Source organism: Homo sapiens, chromosome X (genome assembly GCF_000001405.40).
Source record: "Homo sapiens chromosome X, GRCh38.p14 Primary Assembly".
Lineage (NCBI taxonomy): Eukaryota > Metazoa > Chordata > Mammalia > Primates > Hominidae > Homo > Homo sapiens.
In genome coordinates this window covers 10,714,495-10,736,896 of record NC_000023.11, presented here as the reverse complement: position 1 = coordinate 10,736,896, position 22,402 = coordinate 10,714,495, and the positions used below count along the sequence as shown (strand labels likewise).

The 22,402-nt window shown below is 39.5% G+C and overlaps 1 protein-coding gene across 1 annotated transcript in view, besides 1 other annotated feature; it reads left to right on the top strand.

Annotated features, from left to right (window-relative positions):
* MID1 (midline 1) overlaps positions 1 to 22,402 on the top strand; it is a 388,374-nt gene that overhangs the window by 96,787 nt on the left and 269,185 nt on the right. The window lies entirely within an intron of this gene.
* Positions 13,774 to 14,068: a silencer, noted in NCBI's record as "tiled region #5514; HepG2 Repressive non-DNase unmatched - State 24:Quies". NCBI's record gives its function as "represses a minimal TATA promoter and a strong SV40 promoter by Sharpr-MPRA in HepG2 cells {active_cell/tissue: HepG2}" and the evidence as "EXISTENCE:reporter gene assay evidence [ECO:0000049][PMID:27701403]".

Sequence of the window (22,402 nt, the reverse complement as noted above, 5' to 3'; positions counted from 1 at the left end):
ATATAAAGAGAAGGTTTAGGACATTATCATGAACCATGGTTAGGGATAAAAAATGAGGAATTTGAGCATTTCTGATTTTATTTAAAGATACTGTGCCACCTCTTGGTTTAGGTTAAGTTAGATTTAAGCACTTTCATTAAAAGTAGCTCTCACAAATAGGTGAAAAAGGCAATAAGCCATAGCTCAAAGAATCCTTTAGTTAGTATAAGGAAATGAAGGTAGGCCTAGCACAAGCAAGAAAACTCACAATCTAGAAGTTTGTAAGTTCTTGTCATTAATGGACTAAGTCTACATGTCAACATGTCTCTTCCAATGCCTGCCATGTATCCAAGGGCTGAAGACAGCCTAGTGACCTTGAAAATAACACTCCCCTCATCATCAGACCCAGACAAGTATAAACAGCCACATGTTTGAGTCTCTTTGAGGCAGGGGAGCTGCAGTATTGAACAACAACAAAAAAATATGGCATATGAACATCCTGGAGAAAATGTTTATTTGCTCTTTGCAAAGAAAATCTCAATAATAGAGATAACTGTGAAGTGTTGCTTCAAAAACAACCCCTCCCATCCACTCCCCCAAAACCCTCAGATTTCAAACTCAGTGTGAGAATAGTAGTTAAAGATAACAATTTTACTCACTCCTGTAATCCGAGCACTTTGGGAGGCCGAGGCGGGCGGATCACGAGGTCAGGAGATTGAGACCATCCTGGCTAACACGGTGAAACCCCGTCTCTACTAAAAAATACAAAAAATTAGCCGGGCGTGGTGGCAGGCGCCGGTAGTCCCAGCTACTGGGGAGGCTAAGGCAGGAAAAAAATATAACAATTTTAGATTAAAGATATCATAACTAACTCTTTGACAACTGATTTGAATTAATATACAATATTACTCCATGGTAGAGGCTAGGAAAATGTCAGAAGTTAACACACTCTGACAATGTACCTTCAAAATTATAAATAACTATATAGGCTGGTGCAGTGGCTAATGCCTGTAATCCCAGCACTTTGGGAGACCGAGGCAGGGGAAAATATTTTAGAAACTTAACCAGGATGTGGTGGCACATGCCTGTAGTCCCAGCTACTCAGGAGGCTGAGAGGGGAGGATCACTTGAGCCTAGGAGGCTGAGGCTGCAGTGAGTCATGATCATACCATTGCACCCCAGCCTGGATGACAGAGCAAGACCCTGTCTCAAAATAAATAAATAAATAAAAATACATATATAGAAGTATATGCAAGGATTCTTTGTTTTTAAAGGCAGAATATTTTGAAGTTCGAAGGATAAGAAATTTAAACAAAACTTCAACTTGATACTCACTTATACATAAAATTCAACAAAAATTCCCTAACCTTGTTTAGAGACAACAGATAAAAGATTTTCTTTTAGTGTAAGAAAAAAGGCATATGACACAAACAACAAGAACAAATTAAGAAAGAGAGAAACTACGTTGGGTTAAAGGCTACTACCTTACTGTGTAGTGTGTTTAAAAATCCCTATAGGCCAGGCACGGTGGCTCACGCCTGTAATCCCAGCACTTTGGGAGGCTGAGGCAGACGGATCACCTGAGGTTGGGAGTTTGAGACCGGCCTGGCCAACATGGAGAAACCCCATCTTTACTAAAAATACAAAATTAGCTGGACATAGTGGCGCATGCCTATAATCCCAACTACTCAGGAGGCTGAGGCAGGAAAATTGCTTGAACCCGAGAGGTGGAGGTTGCAGTGAGCCGAGATTGCGCCATTGCACTCCAGCCTGGGCAACAAGAGTGAAACTCCATCTCAAAAAATAAAAAAATAAAAATCCCTATTATGTCTAATCGACTCTTGGTAGAAAATAGGAGGGAAGAGATACCGAAGGGAAGTCAGTTTTGTTAGCAATTGACTCCTGAGCTTGCTCTGTTGAATTTCAAAAAGCCAGGCAGTGACTGACAATTCATCACTATGAGAAAGATGCAGCCAAAGCCACTCCTGAGCTCAGAAGAACAGTCTAGGAATCACCAAAACATATTGAGGGAAAATTGACATAAGATGAAATGCACAGATCCTAAGTGCACAATTTTATGAGTTTTAAAGAATGCATATGCCCATGTACCGACAGCCCCAACCACTAGGACATTGTTATAACCCCAGAAAACTTTCTTTGTGTCCCTTCCTTCTCACTTTCACCACCATAGACATGGACTCATACCTATCTACTCTTTGTGTCTGGCATCTTTGGCTTGGTGTGATATTTTCAGATTCACCTATGTTGTTGCCTGAACCTGTTGTTTCCTCCTTTTTATGGCGCAATAGTATTCTGTTATATGAAACTACCACAACTGGTTTAGCCATTCACCTTTTTTTTTTTTTAACTTTTATTTTAGATTCAGGGGTATATGTGAAGGTTTGTTACATAGGTAAACACGTGTCATGGGGGGTTGTTGTACATATTATTTCATCACCCAGGTATTAATTAAGCCCAATACCCAATAGTTTTCTTTTCTGCTCCTCTCCCTCTTCCCACCCTTCCCCCTCAAGTGGACCCCAGTATCTGTTGTTTCCTTCTTTATGTTCATGAGTTCTCATCATTTAGCTCCCACTTATAAGAGAGAACATGTGATATTTGGTTTTCTGTTCCTGCGTTAGTTTGCTAAGAATAATAGCCTACAGCTCCATCCATGTTCCCGCAAAATACATGATCTCATTCTTTTTTATACCTGCATAGTATTCCATGGTGTGTATGTACCACATTTTCTTTGTCCAATCTACCATTGATGGGGATTTAAAATAATTCCATGTCTTTGCTATTGTGAATAGTGCTGCAAAGAACATTTGCGTGCACATGTCTTTTACATTCACCTTTTGATGGACATTTGGGCACTATACAGTTTGGGACTGTTATGAATAAAGCTACTCTACACATTTGTATACAAATCTTCGTGAGGACATATACTTTTACTTCATTTAGGTAAATACTTAGGAGTGGAATTTCTAGATCACAGCATAGGTATGCATTTGAATACAGCAGAAACTACAAAACCAATTTCCAATCTGCTTGTACCATTTTACACTCTCACCAGCAATGTATGCAACTTATTTTGGTTGCTCCACATCCTCACCAACATTTGGTGATAACAGTCTTTTTAATTTTTGCTATTCCAGTGAATATGAAATGGTACTTTCTGTGGTTTTAATTTACATTTCCCTGTGCTTATTGGTAATTCATATGCCTTCCATTAAGAAGTTTCTGTTCACATGTTTGCTCGTTTTTATTGAGTTGTCTTTTAATTATTGAATTTTAAGGGTACTTTATATATTCTATATCCAAGCCCTGTGTCAGATATATGTGTGTATATGTCTGTGTGTGTATGATAGTCTTCCCAATATTCTTTTCAATGTATAGCTTGCCTTTTCATTTTTCAAGTGTATTTTGATAAGCACAACTTTTGAATTTATAATAAATACAATTTTTATTTTTTCTTTTATGTTTATTACATTTTGCACCCTCTCTAAAAAAAATTTTCCTGCCCTATGGTTGTGAGATGTTTGCCTCTGATTTTTTCTAGAAGTTTTCTAGCTTTTGCTTTTAAGTTTAGGTTTATGATCTATCTCAAATTAATGACTGTGTGTAGTGTGAGGTAGAGGTGAGGGTTCATTTTTTACTCAAATGATTATCTAGTTATTCTAGCACCATTTATTGAAATGATGATTCTTTTCCCCATTTAGTTACCTTGGCCTCTTTATTGAAAATCAACTTACCGGCCGGGCGCGGTGGCTCACGCCTGTAATCCCAGCACTTTGGGAGGCTGAGGCGGGCAGATCATGAGGTCAGGAGATCGAGACCATCCTGGCTAACACGGTGAAACCCCGTCTCTACTAAAAATACAAAAAATAGCCGGGCGCAGTGGCAGGCGCCTGTAGTCCCAGCTACTCGGGAGGCTGAGACAGGAGAATGGCATGAACCCGGGAGGTGGAGGTTGCAGTGAGCGGAGATCGCGCCACTGAACTCCAGCCTGGGCGATAAGCGAGACTCCCTCTCAAAAAAAAAAAAAAAAAAAGAAGAAGAAGAAGAAGAAAATCAACTTACCATGTATGTGAAAATGTATTTCTGGACTCTATTTTGTTTCCTTGGTCTCAATCTGTCCTTAAGCCAAAAATAAATGATGTCAGCTACTGTCATGTTATAGTTAGTTTTTAAATAGAGTAGGATGGGTTCTTTAACTTTGTTATTCTGTTAAGGATTGTTTGGCTGTTCTAATTCTTTTGCATTTTCACATAAATGTTGGAATCAACTTGTCAGTTTCTACAAAACAACTTGTAAAGCTTTTAATTGAAGTTGTATTGACTCTATAGATCAATTAGGGGAGAATTGACATTTTAGCAATGTTGAATTTTATAATCCCTAATCATGGTATATGCCTCCATTTATTTCTACCTTTTAAAATATCTCTCAGCAATATTTTATGGTTTTCAATCTACATTTTGCATATCTTTAGTTAAATAAATTATCCAGTATTTCATGCTGCTACAATAATATAGAAATACAAATGATTTTTATATTAATCTTGCATGCTGATGTGTTAAAATGTCATTAATAGTGTAATTATTTAGTAGATGCCTTAGAATTTTTCATATAAACAATTACATAATTGTTTTTAAAAAGGTTAAGCTTATTTCCTTTTAAGTCTTTTTATTTGTCACTTATTTTTCTTGCTTTATTGCACTGACTATGGTATATAATGTTGAACAGCAGTGGTTAGAGCAGACATTCTTGCCTTGTTCCTGACCTTGGAAGAAAGTATTCAATATCTCATAATAAAGTATGATGTGAGCTGTAGGTTTTCCATAGATGTCCTTTACTAGGTTGTTAAAATTGCCTTCAATTCCTAATTTACAGAGAGTTTTATATCATTGAGTGTATGTTGAATTTTTTTTTTTTTTTTTTTTTTTTTTTTGTGATAGATTCTTGCTCTGTCGCCCAGGACAGAGTGCAGAGTGCAGTGGCACTATCTCGGCTCACTGCAACCTCCACCTCCCGGATTCAAGCGATTCTCCTGCCTCAGCCTCTTGAGTAGCTGGGATTACAGGCATGCGCCACCAAGCCCAGCTAATTTTTGTATTTTTAATAGAGACGGTGTTTTCGCCATGTTGGCCAGGCTGGTTGTGAACTCCTGACCTCAGGTGATCTGCCTGCTTCGGGCCTCCCAAAGTGCTAGGATTACAGGCATGAGCCACCGCCCCCAGCCCTAATTTAGTCTTTTTAAATTAGCTACCTAAGGTGTAAACTTAGATCATTGATTTTAAACTTTGCTTCTTTTATAATCATTTAACTCTATAAATTTCCCTCTAAGAAGTGCTTTAAGCTACATCTCACAAATTTTGATATACTGAGCTTTCTTTTTCATTCAGTTCAAAGTATTTTCTAATTTCCCTTGTGATTTGTTTCTGCCGATATTCATTGACTACCTTACTTGACATTAATACAGCCTGCTAATTTTCTCATGCTGGGTATTTGCATGATATACCTTTTTCTATCTTCGTTTATTTAACCTATTTTTATCTTTATACTTTAAGTCCATCTCTTGTACACAGTGCAAAATTAGGCTTTATTTTGTTTCGCTTTGCTTTTTATCCAGTCTGACACTCTCTGCCTTTTCACTGGAGTGCTTAGTTTCTTTATATTTAATGTAATTGTTGGCATTCTTAGGATTAGACCTACTGCTTGGCAATTTGTTTTCCATGTGTCCCCTCTGTTTTAGATGATTTTTACCCCTTTATTGCTTTCTTGGGAGAATAACAGACAGTCACAAATAATTACAAATATTCTTTTCATCTCAAATATTTTCAAGATTTAAACTCAATTATTTTTTCTGTGCTGCTGTGAGCTTGAGACATTATATACATTAAAGTTATTTTAATCATATATAGATAACACAAATTTCCATATTAAGGGATAGTAATAATTATAAATTGTTATTCTGATTTTAGTCAGATTTAAATTATCTAATTTCCAATAAGATGTGATTTCTTCTCAAAAGTATCTGATCTTGCCGGGCGCAGTGGCTCACGCCTGTAATCCCAGCACTTTGGGAGGCCGACGTGGGCGGATCATGAGGTCAGGAGATCGAGACCATCCTGGCTAATACGGTGAAACCCCTTCTATACTAAAAAAAATACAAAAAATTAGCCGGGCGTGGTGGCGGGCGCCTGTAGTCCCAGCTACTCGGGAGGCTGAGGCAGGAGAATGGCGTGAACACGGGAGGCGGAGCTTGCAGTGAGCCGAGATCGTGCCACTGCACTCCAGCCTGGGCAACAGAGCGAGACTCCGTCTCAGAAAAAAAAAAAAAAAAAAAAAAAGATGTATCTGATCTGAAAGGTTAGTTGCGGTACGATTTGAGTGATGGGATACTATTTGAGTGATAGTTACACTGAAAGCCCAGACTTCACCACTACACAATATATCCAAAACTAAACTTGTACCTCTTAAATTTATACAAATTTTAAAAATACAATGTTAGTTTGTCAGAAGCATTTTCAATCTTCTTGATCTGGGCATCACATACTTTGATTTGATGCTTTTTTCTTATAAAAGCAAATAGCTTTTAAAATTAGATCTTGATTTTTATTTCGATACACTTACATATCCTCATATTCTTCTTGTCATATACAGATCAAGTAATTTAAATATTCAAAAATTGGGCATCCAGATTTGTATTCAAATCTATACTCTACATAACAAATACATCTACTAGGTTAATTGTATTGTATTGTGTTAACTGTAAAATATAAGAATTTTATTTATTTATTTATTTATTCATTTATTTATTTTTTTTTTTTTGAGATGGAGTCTCGCTCTGTTGCCCAGGCTGGAGTGCAGTGGCACTATCTCGGCTCACTGCAACCTCCGCCTACCAGGTTCACGCCATTCTCTCGCCTCAGCCTCCAGAGTAGCTGGGACTACAGGTGCCCGCCACCACGCCCGGCTAATTTTTTGTATTTTTAGTAGAGACGGGGTTTCACCATGTTAACCAGGATGGTTTCGATCTCCTGACCTTGTGATCCGCCCGCCTCAGCCTCCCAAAGTGCTGGGATTACAGGCGTGAGCCACCGCCCCCGGCCAAGAATTTTTAAATCTTTAGAAACATCTAGAGTCTCTAAAGTACCATTTCTAGAAATGAAAGAAGTCCTACTCTAAAATCTATTTTGATTATTTTAATGAGTTCATGTCTAAGTTCTATAACATTAATAGAGAGTACTGCTTTGAAATTAGCATTTTAAAATGACCAGTTGAGTGGTTTAGAAAAGTCCATTATTTTATAAATAATCACAGAAGCCTTTTTCCAAGATGGATTCGAGTACCATCTGGATGAGGCTTCATTATTATAGCTTCATTTATAAAATTAAAGGATGAAACGTTTAATTTGTAAGTGTATTTTTTTTCCTTTTCAGAAAGTCATAGAATGATATATTTGGATAGGCATGTGATTGCTTTAATTTTTGAGCAAATTTTCAGTGTATTTTCCCTTTAGAATCATGACTTAAGTAAGGATTAGCATTCGGTAGCCAAGGTTTAAGAATGCACCGTGGATTTACCGTGGCAGACACGGTTTTGGAATTTAATTTGGTCAGCCTCTGCTTTAGCAGGACAAAGAGAGAGGAAGGTGATAGCATGCCTTACATTAGCTGTGTTGGAAATGTGACCCTCTCCTTTAGAACGGCTCCCAGTTTGTCTGCAGGAGCAAGCCCCTGTGACACAGGAGAGCAGTCAGGAAAGGACAGTGAGTGAGCACGGATGACAGAAGTGTCTGTGCCACCCATTCATTAGGGACTCACAAAGGGGTATAGAAATTCTGGGCTTTTGTGGGGATTGAGAAGTTCCTATCAAATGTCTGTCGGGTAATTTAATTACACGGGCATGGTAGGAATGACACAGTGGTTACATTAATAAACTGAAGCATTAAAGAATAATAGCCCAGTTATTGCTGAATTATGGGAAACACGCTGCCTATTCATTGCTGGTGATATTAGAAGGGAGAAGGCGGGGGCTTCCTACTTTATACTCGCAATGCATAAAGAAACAGTTTCTTGCCTTTCCAGACCTGTGGAAAACCGGGTAGAGGGGAAGGCCCAAAGTCACACCCAATAGCATAAATCTTGCTTTGTTTAAGATGCTTAAAATATCATAAGCTAACTCTGTTTTTATGGTGCTAAATAAAATTGACTTGGGCCAGACATAGTAATGAGCATGTGCTGCACAAACATCTCCAAATAGCCTTTCCAACGGATCTCATTCCTGATAATTTCCATTTGTTGTCCTGCTCCTCTTGTTAATGGAAGCCATTTTATAGGATCACAGGCTACTAGCTTAGTAGTTTTAAAAAAGTAGCCTATTAATATAATAGAAGCAAACATTATTTTTCATTCTCACTCATCCCTCTGGCAGACTGGAACAAAATGCCTTTTTCCCTCCTGCAGGAGCGGGGGAAAAGGAGCACACATTTGATTTCGTATTATTTAACAATAAACGTTTATTGAACTGTGTCAACACTGTTCCAAGAAGTGTGATGTGGAAGGAGGGGGAAGAGATGAAGATGAGCTCCTGCTTTCAGATTCCAACAGAGAAAGTCACAGCTCAGCAGCTGGCCACCCACTCCCATGGAACTCAGGAAGATCTTTCTGCCTAAACTCTTGTAGGTGCCATATTGCAGCCTACGTTTTTTCCTGGGGGGGGAAAAGTTGATGAGTTTTAAAGATCCATCCACCTCTAAAATTCTTTAAGCCTATGAAATATTTATTTCTAGGAGACAATAAACACTTCACTTACACAGAAACACTTCACTTACACAGAAACCAGTTACCATGTGCAGAAGATGGTCCAAAGAACCACTCAATAATACAAATTACATTTTGTGCTTTGGGGTTTTAAGAAAATATTTCGGAATTCAAGTTTGAACAAGTCAACTAATAGAATTTGAGGTGGCAGATCACTTATTTTCTTCATCTAAACTAGAGTGTTACGATTTCATGGGCAAAATACAAAGTTGAAGTGTCCCTGATAACACATAGCAAGCTGCACATTTCCCAGGAAAGGCCAGCACTGCTTATTCTCACAGAAGTCACCCCTGCAAGGGTTCTTTAGATCAGTGGTTCTCAAATTGAGCATTCAAGAGCATCCCATGGAAGGCTTATTAAAATGCAGGTTGCTGGCCTCAGAGCTCAGATTCAGTAGAAGTCAGTTAGAGTCTGGGAATCTGCATTTCTATGCATCCTTGCTCTCTCTCCCTCCCTTCCTGCTGCTACTGCTGGTTCAGGGACCACACTTTGAGAATCACTGCTTTGGATATTAGAATGATGATTCTCTCAAGTCTTGAAAAAAAATTGCGAAGTTCCCTCTAATTTAGCAGAGTTAAGACAAATGTTTCATTTAATTTGCATCTATACATAGCTCTGATGGACTAATCCTTTATAATTCAAAGGGAAGAATTTAAAAATCATAATGATGAGGCTGGGCACAGTGGCTCACGCCTGTCATCCCAGCACTTTGGGAGGCTGAGGCGGGAGGATCACCTGAGGTCAGGAGTTTGACACCAGCCTGGCCAACATGGTGAAACTCCATCTCTACTGAAAGAAAATACAAAAATTAGCCGGGCATGGTGGCAGGCACCTGTGGTCCCAGCTACTTGGGAGGCTGAGGCAAGAGAATCACTTGAACCCAGGAGGAGGAGGTTGTAGTGAGCTGAGATTGTGCCATTGCACTCCAGCCTGGGCAACAAGAGTGAAACTCCGTCTCAAAAAAATAAAAATAAAAAAATAAAAATCATGATGAGATAGAAACAGCATGGGTCTTCATTCTGCCATATAACAGAGACATTACATAAATGGAGATTTGACTGAAGACTTTGTTCTTTGCTTCAGCTCTTCAGAGCATTCCATCTGAATCAAGAAAGTAGTCTTGGAATATTTGCTAGCTGTAGCCCTTCCCAGTCCCACTTTGTCATACGCCACAGGCAGAAAAGAGGAATGCAATCTTTGCCCACTGATTCCTGTGTAGCCACAAGCTTCAGAAAGAGTTTAGTCAGCAGTTCATGGCTCCTTGGCCCACACTAACCACAGTTTGGCCACCAAAAATGTGGGTCAGCGAGTTGCCAGAATGCTGAAGTATAGTGGTTACAAGGACCAGGACGCTCAAGTTGGAAACATGTGATACCACCACAGTTCTTAAGATGGGAAATGAGGGCAAAGGTAAACCCTGCTGTTCTTGGACTTGGTTCTGTTATGCCATCCTTTTCTAAAGCCAATTGTCACTCATACAATTTTATTTTGCTCTCATAAATTCTGCCAGACAGTAGTTTCATTCAACCAGGACTGGCTATAATTTTTAGTCAGATGTATCTCTTATTCTGTTTTTTTTTTTCCTCAGAGAAAGAAACACTCAACTAAATTTTATGCTACAGACTGAATACCTAAAATCCCCAACCTTTTATCTTAACCTGAGTCATAAAACCTGTACCGTCAGAAATGCCTCTTTTTTTATTTTGATTTTCTCACAAAGCACATGTAAATAATTTAGATTAAATGTTTACTGCTTTGCCCTCACAGAGAATTAGATGTTTAGCTTCTGAAAATAATAAAAGAAATTGTTGTTAATTATATCATACAGAGTGTGCCAAATTTATCAATTTGTAAAGAATGACAAATCCTGCTTAGTTGATATCCAGAGTGTGTCTACTTACTGGGTCTGATGTAAATATCCAGTGAGAAATCTGGCTTAGATAAAATAAGGCTAAAAGAAAAATCTCAGAACGTATAATTTACTATATGTCTTATTTACACAGCCTTACCTACCATCAGACGCTTAAAATACATAGTGGCTTTTAAAAGAAAAAAACTTCTACCTTGTTCCATTAGAATTGAGGAGGCTTAGGTCAAGAAATATAGAACATCTTAAGAGTAACTATGAGACAGTGAAGGAAAGAAAACTTATTTGGGTACTCAGCCAAGTTTATTGTCTGTATTATTTCTTTTGTGCACCAAGTTCTTCTTTTTCTTTCTTTCTTCTTTTTAAGACAGAATCTGACTCTGTTGCCTAGGCTCTAGTGCAGTGGCACAATCTCAGCTCACTGCAACCTCTGCCTCCCGGATTCAAGTGATTCTCCTGCCTCAGCCTCCCAAGTAGCTGGGATTACAGGTGCACCCCACCACGCCCAACAAATTTTTGTATTTTCAGTAGAGACGGGGTTTCACCATGTTGGCCAGGCTGGTCTCAAACTCCTAACCTCAAGTGATCCACCTGCTTTGGCCTCCTAAAGTGCTGGGATTACAGGCGTGAGCCACCGTACCAGGCCTTTTTTCTAAGCATATTGACCCTAAGTATGTATTGTGGTTATGTTCAGTAATGTACACAGATTTTTTTTAATTTACTAATCTTTTAATATAGAATATGTAACATGGCCAATATCTTTTAAAAGTCAATTTAAAAAATGGTTACATGCAGTTTTTTCCCTCGGGAAAAATATATTTATAATTTTTAAATCATATCTTAGAGAATACTATTGTGTTCTCTTTTCTTTCATCAAAACCGAATCTTTTAAGGGGAGTGTTTACTGGGAAAGCCCTTGGGGAAATTGAGAGATGCAATCTTCACCTAGCGGTACAAAGAAGTATAGCTTTTGACTGGCACCTGATTTTATTCACTGAGCTTCTTTAGTGCTCTGAAGTGAACACAGTTGGATTTCTAGATAGGAATTTGCTACTCTTAGTGTCACAGTGACATCATTCCTGGGAGGAGAAAAAAGTGCTGTTTTCTTCTGTATTCCAATGACATAATTGTCCCTCTTTGCAGGGAAATGTGCAGTGCTACAGTTTTGGAGTTCAGACCCATTGTTCTGAACTAATAACTATAAGGCTAGAGCATAATGGAACAACACCTTTAGAAAGCTAATACCCCCACAGGTTTCATCTGACATCTTGAACGAGGTTTGCAGAGAGACACACAAATTGAACCTGTCCCCAATTTTTAAAAATTCGCCCTCATTCTTTAGAATCTAAAGTATTGCAGAATACATTGTACAAATCAATCCCCAAACAAATGGTTTTCTCCATGTTGAGTAAAAGAGCATTGGAATCCTATGATTAAAACCTCAAAATCAACCAAGGTAACTAAGATAAAACAGTAAAACCACAAGGTGGGCCAGATGGCAAAAAGGAAAAGCTCATCTATTTATTTTATTTATCTTTCTATTTTTCCAAAGAGAAATAAGTACTTAAAAATCTACTTGAAAGTCCCAGCTCAAGTGACACCCCATCCAAGAGGCATTTAGAGTTTTTTCCGGTTGGGAAAGATCTTGCCCTCATCCTCTAAACTACAGAGAATCCAGGTCTCTTTTATTGAATTACTATAGTCAGCTGCATATGCTATAATCAATTCTCATCATTCCCATACATGTCTTCTCTCCTTTCTTAGATTATAAGCTCCTTCAAGATGAACATCATACTTTAGATAGACATCACTGGCTTCCCTGGAAAACCCAGCATCTTACTCTGACAACACTCAAAAACAACATGCTGAGGCCCAATGGCTCACACCCATAATTCCAACACTTTGGGAGGCTGAGGCAGATAGATCATTTGAGCCCAGGAGTTTGAGACCAGCCTGGGCAACAAGGTGAAATCCCGTCTCTACAAAATACAAAAAATTACCGGGTGTGGTGGTGCGTGCCTATAGCCCCAGCTACTCGGGAAGCTGAGGTGGCTGATGCTTGAACCCGGTAGGTTGAGGCTGCAGTGAGCCGAGATAATACCACTGCACTCCAGCCTGGGCAACAGAGAGAGACCCTGTCTCAACAAAATAAATGAATAACAATAAACAGATGTTTCCCTAATATCTTACAGAGTAAGATGCCACTGAAGATGGTCCAGCCAACAGTATGCTTTTGACTAGAAGTGCAATTAGCATGCAATACATGGCTACAGTCTCCTTTTACTGCCCTTTAGTTATTTTTTAGCTACTTTAAGTTACAGATGGTTTAAATATTTCGGCTGCGGATCCAGAACTGGTAAATGAAGTAAGAAACTACATCTTTAGCTGGGCGCGGTGGCTCACGCCTGTAATCCCAGCACTTTGGGAGGTCGAGGCAGGCGGATCACGAGGTCAGGAGATCGAGACCACGGTGAAACCACGTCTCTACTAAAAATACAAAAAAATTAGCCGGGCGCGGTGGCGGGCGCCTGTAGTCCCAGCTACTCCGGAGGCTGAGGCAGGAGAATGGCGTGAACCCGGGAGGCGGAGCTTGCAGTGAGCGGAGATCGCGCCACTGCACTCCAGCCTGGGCGGCAGAGCGAGACTCCGTCTCAAAAATAAGAAACTACACCTTTAGTGAAATAGTGCAGTTTTCCTGAACTTCCTGAAATGACATTTTAAAAATCGATATTTGGCCTTACTATGCATTTCTAAGGAGCCAAGGCATGTCAGTGTGGTGTGTACTTTTTGTGACAAATTCCTTTTATGATTCTTAATAGCAAAATTACAGAATGTCATATGGGGGCTCAGCCTCATAGCATCTTTCATTCTTGAGTGAGGCTTGTTTATGCAAGTCTGCAAGAGGGGAGCTCTACAAAAGGAAAATGGGAAGGCAAAGTCGGCCCTGGAAAAATTCAGCCGCTGGAAATGTGGTCTTGTCCAGATAGTGAGAAAATAATTGTCTCCAGGTTTGATGAAGGGTTTATAGCGCTAACATTTTAGGATGAAATACAGCTGGTTTCAGATTCCACTGTCAACTCAGAATCAAGCTAATTTCATGTGGTTTGGGGTTTTGTAACTACTTTTTTGCAGAGTACTTCTCGGAACTTTTTGTTCCAGAAACACCCTTGACATCCCTCCACCAGCACCTAAAATTACTTCAGGCCCAGTAGAAAACTCACTGGGTAGCATTACTGACTCTTCCCAGCAGAGGGCACCATTATACCTCCATCGGTACTGGACGTACCCATAACTTCAGCAAAGAGGTTCTTTAAATTCTCAACCATGAGACACAACCTCTCTGATAAGAAAAAATAGTAATAATAACAAACCTAGCAAGAAAAAGATACTTAAACTTTCTAGAGGCAGCAGCTTCTGCAGTTCCGACCGGGGCTCCCAATGTCAGCAATTGCAAGAGAGGATTCTGCCCGGAAACTTAAATTTCAGGACATGATTTGGCTTGGGTTTCTGATGGCCTCGTCTCCCTTTGTTCTTGGCCATTTCCTGAGCTAGTTCTTCAGTCATCTCAGAAATTTCTGCTGATATCATAAACACACACATCCATAAACTAGTCTGTGATAAAATACATTTCAATTTTCCTCTTGAAGGCCGATATTCATTAACCCAGCAATTTAAATGACGGGATGTTTCTCAACCAGGGAAGGTATTTTTTGTAGCTTTCATCACTGGTTTGGTTGGGGAGAAACGATTGACTAATTCCTATTTGTCTTAGATTTTTGCTTTCCCCCACTGGAATGGCCATTTTTGCCCTTGGGGACTATTTAAAGTTGTAATATCTCTAGATGATTTATAACAAGTAAGTAGCCAGCATTGCTAAATATCCAGGCACATCTCATATCCTTAGATGCATTTTTGAGACTCAAATTTCAATAATTTGCCGTGTCTTTATAATATCAACATGCACACCAGTAGAATAAGGTAGTGGGGGAGATTGTTTTACACAGAAAAAGAAAATGTTAGAACTAGAAGAAGCTTTAGAGAAATTTATGTCTCCTGTCTCCCAACCTCTGGATAAGTAGCATCATCTATTAAGTGATTTTTTTTTTTGCAGCCATATGCTTGCTTTTAAAATTATACTTAGCATAGGATAACATAAAAATGCTTTTTCTAATCACACATTCATTCAGAGATATAAGGAGATGGCCAAAGAACTATGTTGGTGGCAGTTTGGAAATATTTCTACACATAATCTCCCAAAAAGCAAGCCTGTACCCTGCAGAAGAAGGTCGTCTTCTTCTTTCTTTTCTTCTCTTTTTGTAGTGACAGTAATCTTGCTATGTTGCCCAGCCTGGTCTTAAACTCCTGGCCTCAAGCGATCTTCCCACCTCAGCCTCTCAAATATCTGGGATTATAGGCACAAGCCACCATGCTTGGCTGTATTCTTTATTGAGTGCAAAACTAATGATTTAGCTTTAATTTTCAGAAAGTTTTTTTTTTTTTTTTAGATTTAAATCCCTTTTGCCCGAGAAAACAATTATTGGTTTTTGCTAGCATCATTTGTTAAGGAAGTTTTTTGCCCCCACAATCCTCACATTCCAGATTGTACTGTAGGTGGGAGAAATTTGATTCTGTGTTTTCGGCACAGAATGACCATAGAAAATACTTATTGATAGTTGAATGTTACTGAAACATTAGCAAAGAATGCTGTGTCTTTAGATCTGATAAGTGAGAAACCCACAAAATTACACTTTATATGAATTTATCTGAGTTTGCAACATCCAAACCTCTTAAATCTGTTATTCCTCAGCTTCTTTGGTCCTTTGGAATCCAAAGGACCCAAAGGATACAGTATTGTATTAATTACTCTTTAATTCACACTAGAGAAAGTTGACCTCTAGTTCTGATTACATACAGAGAAATATATCTATTCACATACACACATATGTATGGAAAATATTCTGTTTAACACAAGAAAACCCCTTAACACCCAACTTCATTTTTCTTTATTTATTTTTCTTTTTTTTATTATACTTTAAGTTTTAGGGTACATATGCACCACGGGCAGGTTTGTTACATATGTATACATGTGCCATGTTGGCGTGCTGCACCCATTAACTCGTCATTTAACATTAGGTATATCTCCTAATGCTATCCCTCCCGCCTCCCCCCACCCCACAACAGGCCCTGGTGTGTGATGTTCCCCTTCCTGTGTCCATGTGTTCTCATTGTTCAATTCCCACCTATGAGTGAGAACATGCGGTGTTCGGTTTTTTGTCCTTGCGATAGTTTGCTGAGAATGATGGTTTCCAGCTTCATCCATGTCCCTACAAAGGACATGAACTCATCATTTTTTATGGCTGCATAGTATTCCATGGTGTATATGTGCCACATTTTCTTAATCCAGTCTATCATTGTTGGACATTTGGGTTGGTTCCAAGTCTTTGCTATTGTGAATAGTGCCGCAATAAACATACGTGTGCATGTGTCTTTATAACAGCATGATTTATAATCCTTTAGGTATATACCCAGTAATGGGATGGCTGGGTCAAATGGTACTTCTAGTTCTAGCTCCCTGAGGAATCGCCACACTGACTTCCACAATGGTTGAGCTAGTTTACAGTCCCACCAACAGTGTAAAAGTGTTTCTATTTCTCCACATCCTCTCCAGCACCTGTTGTTTCCTGACTTTTGAATGATCGCCATTCTAACTAGTGTGAGATGGTATCTCATTGTGGTTTTGATTTGCATTTCTCTGATGGCCAGTGATGATGAGCATTTTTTCATGTGTCTTTTGGCTGCATAAATGTCTTCTTTGAGAAGTGTCTGTTCATATTCTTTGCCCACTTTTTGATGGGGTTCTTTGTTTTTTTCTTGTAAATTTGTTTGAGTTCATTGTAGATTCTGGATATTAGCCCTTTGTCAGATGAGTAGGTTGCAAAAATTTTCTCCCATTCTGTAGGTTGCCTGTTCACTCTGATGGTAATTTCTTTTGCTGTGCAGAAGCTCTTTAGTTTAATTGGATCCCATTTGTCAATTTTCGCTTTTGTTGCCATTGCTTTTGGTGTTGTAGACATGAAGTCCTTGCCCATGCCTATGTCCTGAATGGTATTGCCTAGGTTTTCTTCTAGGGTTTTTATGGTGTTAGGTCTAACATTTAAATCTTTAATCCATCTTGAATTAATTTTAGTATAAGGTGTAAGGAAGGGATGCAGTTTCAGCTTTCTACATATGACTAGCCAGTTTTCCCAGCACCATTTATTAAATAGGGAATCCTTTCCCCATTTCTTGTTTTTGTCAGGTTTGTCAAAGATGAGATAGTTGTAGATATGCAGCATTATTTCTGAGGGCCCTGTTCTGTTCCATTGGTCTGTATCTCTGTTTTGGTACCAGTATCATGCTGTTTTGGTTACTGTAGCCTTGTAGTATAGTTTGAAGTCAGGTAGCATGATGCCTCCAGCTTTGTTCTTTTGGCTTAGGATTGACTTGGTGATGCGGGCTCTTTTTTGGTTCCATATGAACTTTAAAGTAATTTTTTCCAATTCTGTGAAGAAAGTCATTGGTAGCTTGATGGGGATGGCATTGAATCTATAAATTACCTTGGGCAGTATGACCATTTTCATGATATTGATTCTTCCTACCCATGAGCATGGAATGTTCTTCCATTTGTTTGTATCCTCTTTTATTTCATTGAGCAGTGGTTTGTAGTTCTCCTTGAAGAGGTCCTTCACATCCCTTGTAAGTTGGATTCCTAGGTTTTTTATTCTCTTTGAAGCAATTGTGAATGGGAGTTCACTCATGATTTGGCTCTCTGTTTGTCTGTTATTGGTGTATAAGAATGCTTGTGGTTTTTGCACATTGATTTTGTATCCTGAGACTTTGCTGAAGTTGCTTATCAGCTTAAGGAGATTTTGGGCTGAGACGATGGGGTTTTCTAGATACACAATCATGTCATCTGCAAACAGGGACAATTTGACTTCCTCTTTTCCTAATTGAATACCCTTTATTTCCTTCTCCTGCCTGATTGCCCTGGCCAGAACTTCCAACACTATGTTGAATAGGAGTGGTGAGAGAGGGCATCCCTGTCTTGTGCCAGTTTTCAGAGGGAATGCTTCCAGTTTTTGCCCATTCAGTATGATATTGGCTGTGGCTTTGTCATAAATAGCTCTTATTATTTTGAGATACGTCCCATCAATACCTAATTTATTGAGAGTTTTTAGCATGAAGGGTTGTTGAATTTTGTCAAAGGCCTTTTCTGCATCTATTGAGATAATCATGTGGTTTTTTCTTTGGTTCTGTTTATATGCTGGATTACATTTATTGATTTGCGTATGTTGAACCTGCCTTGCATCCCAGGGATGAAGCCCACTTGATCATAGTGGATAAGCTTTTTGATGTGCTGCTGGATTCGGTTTGCCAGTATTTTATTGAGGATTTTTGCATCGATGTTCATCAGGTATATTGGTCTAAAATTCTCTTTTTTTGTTGTGTCTCTGCCATGCTTTGGTATCAGGATGATGCTGGCCTCATAAAATGAGTTAGGGAGGATTCCCTCTTTTTCTATTGATTGGAATCGTTTCAAAAGGAATGGTACTAGCTCCTCCTTGTACCTCTGGTAGAATTCGGCTGTGAATCCATCTGTTCCTGGACTTTTTTTGGTTGGTAAGCTATTAATTATTGCCTCAATTTCAGATCCTGTTATTGGTCTATTCAGAGATTCAACTTCTTCCTGGTTTAGTCTTGGGAGAGTGTATGTGTCAAGGAATTTATCCATTTCTTCCGGATTTTCTAGTTTATTTGCATAGAGGTGTTTGTAGTATTCTCTGATGGTAGTTTGTATTTCTGTGGGATCAGTGGTGATATCCCCTTTATCATTTTTAATTGTGTCTATTTGATTCTTCTCTCTTTTCTTCTTTATTAGTCGTGCTAGGAGTCTATCAATTTTGTTGATCTTTTCAAAAAACCAGCTCCTGGCTTCATTGATTTTTTGAAGGGCTTTTTGTGTCTCCATTTCTTTCTGTTCTGCTCTGATCTTAGTTATTTCTTGCCTTCTGCTAGCTTTTGAATGTGTTTGCTCTTGCTTTTCTAGTTCATTTAATTGTGATGTTAGGGTGTCAATTTTAGATCTTTCCTGCTTTCTCTTGTGGGCATTTAGTGCTATAAATTTCCCTCTACACACTGCTTTGAATGTGTCCCAGAGATTCTGGTATGTTGTGTCTTTGTTCTCATTTTTTCCAAAGAACATCTTTATTTCTGCCTTTATTTCATTATGTACCCAGTAGTCATTCAGGAGCAGGTTGTTCAGTTTCCATTTAGTTGAGCGGTTTTGAGTGAGTTTCTTAATCCTGAGTTCTAGTTTGATTGCACTGTGGTCTGAGAGATAGTTTGTTATAATTTCTGTTCTTTTACATTTGCTGAGGAGAGCTTTACTTCCAAGTATGTGGTCAATTTTGGAATAGGTGTGGTGTGGTGCCAAAAAAAATGTATATTCTGTTGATTTGGGGTGGAGAGTTCTGTAGATGTCTATTAGGTCCGCTTGGTGCAGAGCTGAGTTCAGTTCCTGGATATCCTTGTTAACTTTCTGTCTCGTTGGTCTGTCTAATGTTGACAGTGGGGTGTTAAAGTCTCCCATTATTATTGTGTGGGAGTCTAAGTCTCTTTGTAGGTCTCTAAGGACTTGCTTTATGAATCTGGGTGCTCCTGTATTGGGTGCATATATATTTAGGATAGTTAGCTCTGCTTGTTGAATTGATCCCTTTACCATTATGTAATGGCCTTCTTTGTCTCTTTTGATCTTTGTTGGTTTAAAGTCTGTTTTATCAGAGACTAGGATTGCAACCCCTGCCTTTTTTTTTTTTTCCATTTGCTTGGTAGATCTTCCTCCATCCCTTTATTTTGAGCCTATGTGTATCTCTGCACGTGAGATGGGTCTCCTGAATGCAGCACACTGATGAGTCTTGACTCTTTATCGAATTTGCCAGTCTGTGTCTTTTAATTGGGGCATTTAGCCCATTTACATTTAAGGTTAATATTGTTATGTGTGAATTTGATCCTGTCATAATGATATTAGCTGGTTATTTTGCTCGTTAGTTGATGCAGTTTCTTCCTAGCCTTGATGGTCTTTACAATTTGGCATGTTTTTGCAGTGGCTGGTACCGGTTTTTCCTTTCCATGTTTAGTGCTTCCTTCAGGAGCTCTTTTAGGGCAGGCCTGGTGGTGACAAAATCTCTCAGCATTTGCTTGTCTGTAAAGGGTTTTATTTCTCCTTCACTTGTGAAGCTTAGTTTGGCTGGATATGAAATTCTGGGTTGAAAATTCTTTTCTTTAAGAATGTTGAATATTGGCCCCCACACTCTTCTGGCTTGTAGAGTTTCTGCCGAGAGATCAGCTGTTAGTTTGATGGGCTTCCCTTTGTGGGTAACCCGACCTTTCTCTCTGGCTGCCCTTAACGTTTTTTCCTTCATTTCAACTTTGGTGAATCTGACAATTATGTGTCTTGGAGTTGCTCTTCTCGAGGAGTATCTTTGTGGCATTCTCTGTATTTCCTGAATTTGAATGTTGGCCTGCCTTGCTAGATTGGGGAAGTTCTCCTGGATAATATCCTGCAGAGTGTTTTCCAACTTGGTTCCATTCTCCCCGTCACTTTCAGGTACACCAATCAGATGTAGATTTGGTCTTTTCACATAGTCCCATGTTTCTTGGAGGCTTTGTTCATTTCTTTTTATTCTTTTTTCTCTAAACTTCTCTTCTCACTTCATTTCATTCATTTGATCTTCCATCACTGATACCCTTTCTTCCAGTTGATCAAATCAGCTGCTGAGGCTTGTGCATTCATCACGTAGATCTCATGCCGTGGTTTTCAGCTCCATCAGGTCCTTTAAGGACTTCTCTGCATTGGTTATTCTAGTCAGCCATTCGTCTAATCTTTTTTCAAGGTTTTTAACTTTTTTGCCATGGGTTCGAACTTCCTCCTTTAGGTCGGAGTAGTCTGATCGTCTGAAGCCTTCTTCTCTCAACTCGTCAAAATCATTCTCCATGCAGCTTTGTTCCATTGCTGGTGAGGAGCCGCATTCCTTTGTAGGAGGAGAGGTGCTTGATTTTTAGATTTTTCAGTTTTTCTGCTCTGTTTTTTCCCCATCTTTGTGGTTTTATCTACCTTTGGTCTTTGATGATGGTGACGTACAGATGGGGTTTTGGTGTGGATGTCCTTTCTGTTTGTTAGTTTTCCTTCTAACAGACAGGACCCTCAGCTGCAGGTCTGTTGGAGTTTGCTGGAGGTCCACTCCAGATCCTGTTTGCCTGGGTATCAGCAGCAGAGGCTGCAGAACAGTGGATATTGGTGAACAGCAAATGTTGCTGCCTGATCGCTCCTCTGGAAGTTTTGTCTCAGAGGAGTACCTGGCTGTGTGAGGTGTCAGTCTGCCCCTACTGGGGGGTGCCTCCCAGTTAGGCTACTTGGGGGTCAAGGACCCACTTGAGGAGGCAGTCTGTCCGTTCTCAGATCTCAAGCTGTGCGCTGGGAGAACCGCTACTCTCTTCAAAGCTGTCAGACAGGGACATTTAAGTCTGCAGAGGTTTCTACTGCCTTTTGTTTGGCTATGCCCTGCCCCTAGAGGTGGAGTCTACAGAGGCAAGCAGGCCTCCTTGAGCTGCGGTGGGCTCCACCCAGTTCGAGTTTCTTGACTGCTTTGTTTACCTACTCAAGCCTCAGCAATGACAGGCGCCCCTCCCCCAGCCTCGCTGCCACCTTGCAGTTTGATCTCAGACTGCTGTGCTAGCAATGAGTGAGGCTCCGTGGGCGTAGGACCCTCCGAGCCAGGCATGGGATATAATCTCCTGGTGTGCCGTTTGCTAAGACCATTGGAAAAGCACAGTATTAGGGTGGGAGTAACCCGATTTTCCAGGTGCCATCAGTCACCCCTTTCCTTGGCTAGGAAAGGGAATTCCCCAACCCCTTGCGCTTCCCGGGTGAGGTGATGCCTCGCCCTGCTTCAGCTCAGGCTCGGTGCACTGCACCCACTGTCCTGCACCCACTGTCCAACAATCCCCAGTGAGATGCACCTGGTACCTCAGTTGGAAATGCAGAAATCATTCGTCTTCTGCGTTGCTCATGCTGGGAGCTGTAGACTGGAGCTGTTCCTATTTGGCCATCTTGGCTCCACCCTCCCAACTTCATTTTTAAGAAGAGAATAACTTTCTATTGCATGCCAATTAAATTATTTCTTTAAAAAACTGCAATATGTACAGTATACAAAAGGAAATATTATGTCTTGATTGGAGTGAAATTAGAACAATAAACACTTTTTGAAATTGTTGTATGTTAGTGGTAGAATTTTATTTTTTTAAACAAAGCTCGGCATTCTACATATTGTCACTAGTTGCTTTAGTAGTTATTTTTTCTTTTGTCTGATGATATTGTTCCCTTATGTTAACATTTTGGCAGGCTCCTTGGATATAAAATATTTTCAAGCCCTACCAGACGTTGCTTCATTTTCATTCTCTTTTCGTTATGTTTGGAGTATTATCAAATGAGACAATTGGCATGCTACATGTGACTTACTTTTATCCATGGCTATCAGTAAGCATGAGCTACAGTTAAATAAGAAATACTGCTAATACAATTGAAATGCAAAGCATATTAAAATGTTCCAGATTCGATTAACAAAAGTAGATCTCACACGAATTTTAAAGAGGCTCTGCTAGTGCTACACAAGATCAGCAACTGTCAAAG